The following is a 12602-nucleotide window of genomic DNA, read 5'->3' on the forward strand; positions in this document are numbered from 1 at the left end:
AAAATGAAAAAAAAATCCAACAGTAAAATAAATAGACAAAGAAGAGAAAGAGACAAAGCACTGGAAACAAATAGCTTTTAAACATATTAAAAGATGTCCAACCTTCCCTATAATAAGGGAAATTCAGGGTAGACCCACACTGAGATGCCAATTTCTTACTCTATCAGATGGACAAAGATCCAAACGTTTGATCTTAACATATCAACGTTTGAGACTTAAAGAATCAGATATTGTCATGTATTGCTGGTGAGAATATAAACAAGTACAGCCTTTATGAAGAGAATTTTTGCAAAACTATCAACATTTTATAAGCCCATATCTTTGACCCAGCAGTTTCACTTCTAAGACTTTATCCAACAGATTTATTTGTACATGGGTTGAATTATGTACAAGGGTATTCACTGCAGCATTATTTGTAATAGCAGAAAACCCTAGGACATGTTGAGTAGTGAGAAATGAATGAGAAGCCAAGAGTGGAGTCTGATTATGAATCTCTTTGTAAACTTGAATCCTTAGAAGTTCTTGATCAGGTAGAATGATAACAAGGCTGTGTTTAGAAAAATGTGTCTGACATTGGTTTCAGGATGGATTGTGTGTTGGGGAGAGCTCCAAGTTCAATGTCATTTAAAGAGTTCTGTTTGAGCTGAAAGGGGAGAATCCTTGTTTAGGGGGCAGAGGTGGCATTAGGCAAGGCTGGCGAGGTAGGTAGGGACCAGCGTATGAAGGGCCTTTCTCATTTTTATTTTTATTTTATTTTAAGTTTCGGGATACATGTACAGAACGTGCAGGTGTGTTACATAGGTATACATGTGCCATGGTGGTTTCCTGCACCTGTTGACCCATCCTCTAAGTTCCCACCCCTTGCCTCCCTAACAGGCCCTGGTGTTTGTTGTTCCCCTTCCTGTGTCCATATATTCTCATTGTTCAACTCCCACCTATGAGTGAAGACATGCAGAGTTTGGTTTTCTGCACCTGTGTTAGTTTGCTGAGGATGACGGCTTCCAGTTTTATCCATGTCCCTGGAAAGGACATGATCTCATTCCTTTTTATGACTGCATAGTATTCCATGGTGTATATGTACCACATTTTCTTTATCCAGTCTATCACTGATGGGCATTTGGGTTGGTTCCATGTCTTTGCTATTGTAAATAGTGCTGCAATAAATGTACATTTGCATGTGTCTTTATCATAGAATGACATATTCCTTTGTGTATATACCCAGTAATTGCGTTTCTAAGTAAATTGGTATTTCTGGTTCTAGATCCTTGAGGAATTGCCATACTGTCTTCCAAAACGGTTGAACTAATTTACCTTCCCACCACAGTGTAAAAGCCTTCCTATGTCCCCACAGCCTCGCCAGCATCTGTTGTTTCTTGACTTTTTAGCAATTGTCATTCTGACTGGCGTCAGATGGTATCTCACTGTGGTTTTGATTTGCATTTCTATAATGATCAGTGCTGTTGAGCTTTTTTTCATATGTTTGTTGTCCGCATAAATGTCTTTTGAAAAGTGTCTGTTCATATCCTTTGCCGACTTTTTGATGGGTTTTTTTTTTTCTTGTACATTTTTTTAAGTTCCTTGTAGGTTTTAGATATTAGACCTTTGTCAGATGGGTAGATTGCAAAATTTTTCTCCCATTCTGTAGTTTGCTTGTTCACTCTGATGATAGTTTCTTTTGCTGTGCAGAAGCTCTTTACTTTAATTAGATCCCATTTGTAAATTTTGGCTTTTGTTGCAATTGCTTTTGGCATTTTCATCTTGAAGTCTTTGCCCATCCCTATGTCCTGAATGGTATTGCCTAGATTTTCTTCGGGGGTTTTTATAGTTTTGAGTCTTACATTTAAGTCTTTAATCCATCTTGAGTTAATTTTTGTATAAGGTGTAAGGAAGGGGTCCAGTTTCAGTTTTCTGCATGTGGCTAGCCAGTTTTTCCAGCACCATTTATTAAATAAGAAATCCTTTCCCCATCACTTGTTTTTGTCAGGTTTGTCAAAGATCAGATGGTTGTAGATGTGTGGTGTTATTTCTGAGGTCTCTGTTCTGTTCCATTGGTCTATATGTCTGTTTTGGTACCAGTACCATGCTGTTTTCATTACTGTCACCTTGTAGTATAGTTTGAACTCAGGTAGCATGATGCCTCCAGCTTTGTTCTTTGTCTTGGCTGTTCTTGTTCTTTGTCTTGGATGGGTCTTCTTTGATTCCATATGTAATTTAAAGTAGTTTTTCCTAATTTTGTGAAGAATGTCAATGGCAGTTTGATGGGAATAGCAGTGAATCTATAAATTACTGTGGGCAGTATGGCCATTTTCATGATATTGGTTCTTCCTATCCATGAGGATGGAATGTTTTTCCATTTGTTTGTGTCCTATCTTATTTCCTTGAGCAGTGGTTTGTAGTTCTCCTTGACGCGGTCCTTCACATCCCTTGTTAGTTGTATTCCTAAGTATTTTATTCTCTTTGTAGCAATTGTCAATGGGAGTTCATTTATGATTTGGCACTCTGCTTGTCTATTGTTGGTATAAAGGAATGTTTGTGATCTTTTCACATTGATTTTGTGTCCTGAGACTTTGCTCAAGTTGCTTATCAGCTTAAGGAGTTTTTGGGCTGAGATGATGGGCTTTTCTAAGTATAGAATCATGTCTTCTGCAAACAGAGACAATTTGACTTCCTCTCTTTCTATTTGAGTATGTTTATTTCTTTCTCCTGCCTAATTGCCCTGGCCAGAGCTTCTGATACTATGTTGAATATGAGTGATGAGAGAGGGCATCCTTGTCTTGTACCGGTTTTCAAAGGGAATGCTTCCAACGTTTGCCCATTCAATATGATATTGGCTATGGGTTTGTCATAAATAGCTCTTGTTATTTTGAGATATGTTCCATCAATACCTAGCTTATTGAGAGTTTTTAACATGAAGGGATGTTGAATTTTATCAAAGGCTTTTTCTACATTTATTGAGATAGTCATGTGGTTTTTGCCTTTGGTTCTATTTATGTGATGGATTACATATATTGATTTGTATATGTTGAGCCAGCCTTGCATCCCAGGGATGAAGCTGACTTGATTGTGGTGGATGTGGTTTTTGATGTGCTACTGAATTCACTTTGCCAGTATTTTATTGAGGATTTTCACATCGATGTTCATCAGGGATATTGGCCTGAAGTTTTCTTTTTTTGTTATGTTTCTGCCAGATTTTGGTATCAGTATGATGCTGGCTTCATAAAATGAGTTAGGGAGGAGTCCCTCCTTTTCAATTGTTTGGGGTAGTTTCAGAAAGAATGGTACCAGATCCTCTTTGTACCTCTGGTAGAATTCGGCTGTGAATCTGTCTGGTCCTGGGCTTTTTTTGGTTGGTAGGCTATTAATTACTGCCTCAATTTCAGAACTTGTTATTGGTTTATTCAGGGATTCAACTTCTTCCTGGTTTAGTCTTGGGAGGGTGTATGTGTCCAGGAAGTTATCCATTTCTTTTATATTTTCTAATTTATTTGCATAGAGGTGTTTATATTATTCTCTGATGGTAGTTTGTATTTCTGTGGGGTCAGTGGTGATATCCCCTTTATCATTTTTTATTGTGTCTATTTTATTCTTCTCTTTCCTTTTTAGTTAGCCTAGCTAGCAGTCTATCTATTTTGTTGATCTTTTTCAAAAAAAAAAAAAACAGCTCCTGGATTCGTTGATTTGTTGGAAGGATTTTTGTGTCTTTATCTCCTTCAATTCTGCCCCGATCTTAGTTATTTCTTGCCTTCTCCTAGCTTTTGGATTAGTTTGCTCTTGCTTCTCTAGTTATTTTAATTGTGATGTTAGGGTATCGATCTGAGATCTTTCTAGCTTTCTGATGTGGGCATTTAGTACTATAAATTTCCCTCTTAACACTGCTTTAGGTGTGTCCCAGAGATTCTCGTATGCTGTCTGTTTATTCTATTGGTTTCAAAGAACTTCTTGATTTCTGCCTTAATTTCATTATTTACCCAGGAGTCACTCAGGAGCAGGTTGTTCCATTTCCATGTAATTGTGTGGTTTTGAGTGAGTTAGTTAATCCTGAGTTCTAATTTGATGGCACTGTGGTCTGAGAGACTATTTGTTAATGATTTCAGTTCCTTTGCATTTGCTGAGGAGTGTTTTACTTCCAATTATGTGATCAATTTTAGAGCAAGTGTCATGTGGCACTGAGAAGAATGTATACTCTGTTGATTTGGGGTGAAGAGTTCTGTAGATGTCTATTAGGTCCACTTGATCCAGAGCTGAGTTCAAGTCCTGAATATCCTTGTTAATTTTCTATCTCATTGATCTGTCTAATATTGACTGGGGTGTTAAAGTCTCCCACTATTATTGTGTGAGAGTCTAAGTTTCTTTGTAGGTCTCTAAGAACTTGTTTTATAAATCTGGGTGCTCTTTGATTAGGTGCATTTATATTTAGGATAGATAGCTCTTCTTTTTGAATTGATCCCTTTACCATTATGTAATGCACTTCTTTGCCTTTTTTGATCTTTGTTGGTTTAAAGCCTGTTTTTTCAGAGACTGGGCCAGAGATAATTTTTAAAATCAGAAATAAAAATGTTTTAATGCTCCTAAAAGGGCTGGGACCTTCTGCCTGGGTAATTTCTAGTCCTAAATTGGCCCTCTTTCCGGGTCATTCAGATCCTGGCTTATGTACTCCTCAGTCCCCTCTAGCTGTGCTCTCTTTCCAGCCTCTCCTGAAACACATTCCAGCCCAAGATCTCACAAGCATTTTAATTCATCGATTTGGGTGAAAGCAAAGGACATGTATATTCAGCGTGCCTGTCTCCAGCACTCCACAGGAGACAGCAGTGCCCCTAGTTACATTCATGCCATGGGCATTAATCAGCCTATACATAAACACTGCAGCCATGTTTTTCTTTTTCTTTTTCTTTTAATGAATAACTGGGGGCCAATGAGTGCATTTATCACAGTGCTTTTTAAATTGCTTGATTTTTTTAAATTCTTTTGTATGCTTCTCAGTGGGGAAAATATCTTGGTTAAGCTAAAATGTACATGCAGCAGATCGGTAAGAGTAGGTGAGCATTGCTTCTAAAGAAAAGAGCAAAATTGGGTGCCATGGAATTCTGATACAACAATAAGGTAGATTGTGCTTACAGATTTCATTTTTCAAAGAGTTGATCATTAAGGACAAATTTAGATGACTTAATGAGAACATTGAAATGACACATTATCATCTTAATTCAAATTTCCCCCAAAAGAAGGAAAGTTGTTTTTTATTTTTTTAATTTTAATATGCTTCATCTATGTCACTTCAAAAAGATTCTAAACTCCATGAAGGCAGCACCATGGACAGCTTCTGTGCCCCTACAAATTTATAGTGACCCTCTTTGGCACATAACAAATAGTTATTAGATTAAGTTGAGCTTATTTGAATTGAGTTTTCAAGGTATTTTTCTACCTAGGAGAATCTTAAAAACATATCTTTTTGTAAATTTTTTAAATTTTACTTTAAGTTCCAAGACACATGTGCAGAATGTGCAGGTTTGTTATGTAGGTATACATGTGCCATGGTGGTTTGCTGCACCTGTCAACCTGTCATCTAGGTTTTAAGCTCCACATGCATTACGTATTTGTCCTAATGCTCTCCCTCCCCTTCCCTCTCACTCCCCAACAGGCTCCGGTGTGTGTTGTTCTCCTCCCTGTGTCCATGTGTTCTCCCTGAATATCATATCATTTTTTTAAAATGAGTTTCTCTTCTTGCTTTCTCTAAAACACTTTGAAAATCACTATCTTCTAGGTTAAAGTCAGTGGCATTCAGCAAAGCCATTTCTGATTTTATGTCTCTTTTTCTCAAGAAGCAAATTGCAAGTGTATGTATAATCATATTGAGTCACACTTAATAATTATATTCTAGGGGAAGGTAAACATTCAGGATTCTCCTTACTGAAAACAGCAGTAAGATCATTTTTAATCCAATGCCATCCAGACATAGCAGATAATGGCTAGCTCCCTGTGTCAAGAGACTTCACTCTTCATAAAGTCAATACTTAGACAAAAATCAGAATTGTTCCCTTCTTCCAAACCTACTCTGAATCTCTCTCACATCCCAAGGGAGAAATGGTTCCTCACCTGAAGCTAGCTGGTGTGCCTTTGGTGTACCATAATGCCTTGTAGAAGTTAAAGCAAATTCTCTGTTCCCTTCTGGACAACACTTTATTTTTTCTTGACCATCCCAATGTTTGTAATCAGAGGGGACATCATAAATGCTAAATCTGTTAAATATTAATTGGCTAGAATTCTGAACATTTAGGTCCTGTCAAACAAAAAGGGGAAATTATCTGAGTAGTTTATAAATATTGTCATTTGGCTGTTCCAGTTTGCTCTTACCACAAAATAAATTATCCTCAAATTTAGCAGGTTAAAATAATAATCGTACTATTATAAATCATGGTACTGTGTGCATTAGTCCATTCTTGTGCTTCTGTAAAGAACTGCTTGAGACTGGGTAATTTATAAAGGAAAGAGGTTTAATTGACTCACAGTTCTGCATGGCTGGGGAAATGCAGAATCATTTCCCCAGGAAACTTACAATCATGGCAGAAGGGGAAGCAAACATGTCCTTCTTCACATGGCAACGTAAGGAGAAGTATGAGCAAAGGGGAGGAAAAGCCCCTTATAAAACCATCAGATCTCATGAGAACTCACTCACTGTCATGAGAACAGCATGAGAACAGGATAACTGCCCCCATGATTCAATTATCTCCCACTAGGTCTCTCCCACAACACATGGAGTTTATGGGAACTACAGTTCAAATGAGATTTGGGTGGGGACACAGCCAAACCATATCACTGTGGACCAGAAATTCAGGCAAGGCTCAACTAGTCGATTCTTCTGCTCCATGTGGTGCTGACTGGGTTCACCAAGTGGTAATCAGCTGGCAGATGGTCTGGTCTGGAAGGTTCAAGATGGCTTTGCTTATATGTCTGGCACCTTGGCAAGGGTGGATGGAGATCTAGGCTCAACTGGGACTGTCATCTGGAATCCCTACACATGCCCTCTCCAACACTGTGATCTCAGAGTAGATTCTTGTAAGAGACAGAAAGTGGTCTCTTAAATACTAGCTCTGGAAACTGGCAGAATGTCACTTCAACCATATGCTGTTAGTCATAAGAGTCACTGAGCCAATCCAGATTCAGAGGACAGGACATAAACCCCACCTCTCCGTGAAAAGAGTGTCGAAGATATTGCAGTCATCTTTAATTGGCAAAGATGCACATCATAAGAAAATAATGCAGCTTTGTATCTCTCACTAATGAACTCATCCATCAAAAGGCAGCTATTATCAAAAGATTAATTTAACATAAAAAAGATCACCAGCTTTGCATCTTAAAGTCATCCATGTGTCTTTTACTCCCTTATTCCTCATAGCAATTGCTGTCAATACTTCCACCAAAATATCTTACAAATTGGTCCTTTCCTTTCCCCTTACAGTACCTGGAGGTGGTGACTTATAAAAGCTAAGCTTTGTTATGAGCTAATTTTGTGCTAGACATTGTACTAAACAACTTTACAAGCACGATTTCATTTCATTGTGCCTACCACCACTGAGGTATATACTGTCATAATCTCCATTGCATAGATTAAGAAAATAGGACTTTGTGAACTACATGACTTATACATTAACTCCCAGCCATTTAGTGGAGGAGTTTAGATTGAAACCTGGGCACCTGACTCCACAGTCTTCATTCCTAACCAGAAACTCCATGCTTACACAAGTAGAGGGCCTTGGCCCAGAGGCGTGGCTTTACCTGCATCCTGGCTCCTTGCCTTTGGTTGGGCACCTGTGGTGGAGCAGCTACATGCCCCCCACCAACCCTGTACTAACACAGAGTCAGTGTCTCTCTGTGTGCCTCCACACCTCATGCAGAGGTATCAGTTATTTCTAATATATCTAAATTTTATTTTCCAAACAAAAATTACATACTGCTTTAGGGAGGCAACAGTCTTCTTTAAGGAGAAACAAAACGAGCAACACAGGAGAGGTAAGCAGAAAGGATCTGCTGATCATTAGCTGACATACTGTAACTGTCCTGGTTTAATTGGCAAGAGAAAACAGCTCCAAGAGCAGAGTTAAAAATAATGTTCCCAATATTTCAAAATATAAGTGGCAGAGAGATAATTAAGACAGCCCAGGATGGCAGCCTCTGGAGTAAGTTATGCTATGTTGTGACTTCACTGGTTTCAGAGAAACTTACCAACTACTGCCTTGATGTCGCAAAGTTATTTTGTGTTTTCTTCACTTTGAGCTGAGAGAGAGGCTGAGGTGTCATGTCCTAAGGCATGGCTTTCCTTAGCCCCAAGGTGGGAAGGAAGTTCTCCTAAAACCCAGGGAGCTTGACTGATGACAGGCTTGCCCGGCAGGTGGGAACAAAACCAGTCAAGAATAGATGCACGTGGCTGCTCAGTGGGCCATGCAGACCCTCTGTCCGCCTGGGGCCTGGGGTCAAAGAAGAGCCACCATTCACTATGAGGCCTTTTCCAAGTCCCAGGGCCGACAGTTCTGACCTTCCACTGCTTTGTCACCTCATCATGTTTGAACTTGGCCTCTACAGGCAGTAGCTATGAACCTGACCTTTTACAGTGGCCTCAAAAAATATTGGAGGAGTTTTCTGAAAAGCTGCTTTTCCTTTCATGTCATGAATATTTAGAACAAAATGGGGAACTGGGGATGGGGGTTATTATATCATATGAATACATGTATGTTTTTTTTTTAATTTTTTTCTACTTTTAGACATCATGTTATTTGTGTAGATTTCTCTGGCCTTCTATCAGGTAGCTTTTTTTCAAACAATTTTGTCATCAGAAAAATATAAGCCCCAAAACACACTATTTATGTCCTTTGTCAGTCTTCTTCCTATTCTTCACAAAAACCTATGTATCATTATAATCAGTGCATCCATGTTATTTTATCTAGATGTTTCACACACAATTTTATCTGAGCTTTTCTAAGAATTTGAATAATTTGTGTGTTTTTTAGTAAAAGGAATACAGCGTTTCAATGTATTTGCATACATTCACACTATTTAATGATTTATCAACAGGTATTTTGATTAATAAGAACTACTGAAATCAATCAGTATAATAGTCATTAGTGTTTTTATTGTGGATAATAAAAAAAAAAAAACACATAACATGAAATCTACCCTCAGCAAATTTTTAAGTTTGCAAAAGATCTCACTAAGGATGATCCTGAAGTTTTGAGCCAGTGTATACTGGCTTTGGAGTCCTCAAAGGAGAATCTAATTTTATTTCATATTTTTATTTATATTGTGTTTTTAAAAAATTAGTAATGGCATAAACCAGATAAGAAACAACATAAAGCAGCATATTCTGACTGGTGATCTACATTAAAAGAAAAATAAATAGGTGCCTACTTATATCAAAAATGTATTATCTTGGTTTATATAACAAGGCAAATGAATTGAGATAACGAATAGAAATACAGGAACCGGTAGTTTGGGCAAATGGAGCCGTTTAGTTTTATGTTTAATAGTGCTGGGTCATCAGTAGGATTGCCTTTTCCCAAGGCCAAGAAGGCACCTGCTTAGGAGAGGGTTAACTTGAGCATTTTATTGTGGTTGGGGGAGATGAGTTTGAAGGCTTCAGAACCTACAAGCCTAGTACCATGGTCAGAGTTCAACGTGGAACAGAAACATTGAAATCACCAAAGGGAAACTTCCTCACTTTATGGTACAAATCAAACAGCTTCTCACCTTACCTATAGAAGATAAGTTCTACTAGAGGAGAGAGTGTTTTAATTTCAACAAGAAGAGAACCTGCTAAGAGATGATTTCAACCCCATAACTTTAAACTGTGACTCTATGTTAAGTCCTTATGATCCAACCTTAAAACGTGTCCTTTTTCCCCCAGGCCACAGTAGCTTTCAGACTTTGAATATAGCTGATGTCTTCAACAGAAAACTAAATCTTTCCAAGCAATACTGAGTTCATTTCAGTTCAGTGTAATTTCGTCAACTTTTTTGAGAGCTTATAATGTGATGGGTACCATAATAGGCCTTGAATATACAGAACCAAATCAGAGAAGCTCCCCTGTCCCCCAAAAGATGTTAAAGTGCAAATGCTGAAAGGAATGCTGAGTAGTGTGATCACATCCAGACAGATCTGTACATCTTGAGAGATCCAGAAATGCTTCACACAGGTAGATATGCTTCAACTGGGTCTTGACTTTTGTGCATCCAAATTCACAAATCAGCACTTCTTCCCTCATATTCTCAGTTTTCCCCAGACTCCAGAAGAAGATGGGTGAGACTTCCTTTTCTAAATGCAGCTGATCCCTGACCTAATACTGTTTTTACTTCATGTGGAATCATTAGATATATTTAACATTCTGCATTTGGACTAATTTTCTTATTTTCAGCCCTGGTTCTAGACATATAAAATAATTTTGAATCTTCAAACAAAATACAATCGTCCTAAGATTCAGTCATCTATTTCATTTTGGACTATATGAAAGCAAATTTAAAAACGTGAATGCACCATTATTTTTCATCCAGTTGTTTTAACAATGTTTAAACACAGGTTGGGAACCTGGAGCTCCCAGTTTGCAAATAAATCATGTTCCTGTATTTTAACAGATGCAATGCTCTTGGTGGCAGAGCGACTGGAGGGGCCATTCAACATTGAGTCGGTCATGGACCCGATAGATGTCAAGATTTCTGAAGCCATTATGAACATGCAAGAAAACAGCATGCAGGTGTCTGCAAAGGTATTTGCATTAGTAATGTATCTGCCAATACATGTATGTTATACAGGTGCAATAACCTAAAAACGAAGTAACTAGATATGTCGGCTGGGCTTATAAATTCTAATATGCTGTCAGCGAGCTTTTCCTGTTGAGCCACAAATTTGCTACTTCATTAAAAATGTCTAACAAAATGGCATTGAGAAGGAAAGCAATTTTTTAGCTTGCAACTACTCAATCACGAAGAAATTATGGGCTGCCAAAAGGTTTCAGAGAGCCCCAAGTATGTTGACTAATCCCTCACATTTGTGAGCAATTTGGGGGGAATTTTCTTTTTAATGTTTGAAATGTCTGCACACCCTCGCCCTGTTCTCTGTCTAGCAACTTCTAATTATATCTTCAGCTGTGCAGACCAGGCACATGTTCTATATTTTCCATTGTAAATAATTAAACATCCCATCTGACTTCCTTTTAAGACTATGGTGTAACTTTCATTAACAAATCTTCAGGAGAAAATGCTCCTTTGTATGAAGTCAAGCACACATGAAAAGAAAAAAAGTAGCACATTTTCATAAATCATATGAGACAGAGCTCCTGGGTTTGCAGCTGTACAACACAAATGCCAGGTGCACAATTTTTATTTGTCTCCACCCAGTTGAAGATAAACAGGACCCGCCTTAAGCAAAATTGAGAAGTTTGCAGTGGGTCTCCCGCCTCTTCCTTCATCAATCTTTCTCTCCCATAGTGATGACTGCACAATGCCCTTCTGTTCTCTTGACTAGTATCCCTTTCATGAAACACTAACCAAATCTATATCAGTCCTTTAAACCCAGTGACCGAGTGATTGCATTTTAATTGAAAGTCATTTACACTAAAATATGTCAGGCAAAGAGTTGCATGATTAGCTTTCTTTAATTTTTAAAATCCTTTGTGAAAGAGATTTCAAATGTAATCACAGAGGAGGGGACAGGTAGTAGGAAGACATTGCAGAGCAAGAAAAAGGAGCCATGGATTCCTACTAGGTCTCCTTGGCTAAGCATGATTCAAACTAGGTTTGGGCTTTTCAGGGTGAACTGGTAGGATGAAGGAGAAGAAAGAATCTGGCCTGGGTCCCTTTTTCTCCATGGGAGATGGATGAGCTAGAGTTTCATAAGCCTTTTTGGGGGTTTTAATGAGCTCAGTGTAGCCTGTGTAAAGGAGGATGCTCCAAATTACCATCACCTGTTGGGGAAATAGCACATTTGGGGTTTCCATGAAAGGCCATTTTCTTTCTTTCCTGTGGAAAAAATAGCAATCATCCATTCCTCTCAAATCTATGCCTAGAAACCAATTAATGTTATTTTGAAAGGCACGGTATCCCGTTGGTGCTCAAGTAATCAGGTGCTAAGATTGCTAATGTTAAAAACAGCTCTAGAGACTAGGACAGGAGGAACACATGGACAAAATTATCTGCAGTTTGAGACCATCACAACTTCTTAGAAGTAGGTGTCTGTTTCCATTGGTGCGTGTGCATACATTTTCCAAGTCAAGTATTCTTTTCTACCCTTTTCATTCCATTCATTCATTCATTCATCAAATATTTTTTGGGAATCCATGTGGAAGACATGGCTTTGTACTGGGGACAGGAGTGAATAAGGCACCATTCCAGCCCTCAGTAAGCTTACTTTCTAAAAGGAGAGACAAGACACTGAACAGATCAGCAATTATATAAATTAATTAACATAACATAGCACCAGACAATAATAAGTAATAGGAAGAAGCTTCTCCTCCCCCAGGGCCTGGACATATTTGAACAGGAAGTTTCTATCACTTATTATATATTTTTTTCAAGGAACCTCAGTTTCTCTAAAAGCAACAGCTTCCTCACTGGTCTCCTGGC

At 38.3% G+C, this 12602-nt stretch overlaps 1 protein-coding gene across 4 annotated transcripts in view; it reads left to right on the forward strand.

Annotated features, from left to right (window-relative positions):
- GPC6 (glypican 6) overlaps positions 1–12602 on the forward strand; it is a 1191492-nt gene that overhangs the window by 1059204 nt on the left and 119686 nt on the right. For all 4 annotated transcript variants that reach the window (XM_047429990.1, NM_005708.5, XM_017020300.2 and 1 more), the window contains one exon: positions 10617–10747. In XM_047429990.1, the coding sequence (XP_047285946.1) occupies positions 10617–10747 (131 nt within the window). The remainder of the gene's footprint in view (positions 1–10616; positions 10748–12602) is intronic.

Source organism: Homo sapiens, chromosome 13 (genome assembly GCF_000001405.40).
Source record: "Homo sapiens chromosome 13, GRCh38.p14 Primary Assembly".
Lineage (NCBI taxonomy): Eukaryota > Metazoa > Chordata > Mammalia > Primates > Hominidae > Homo > Homo sapiens.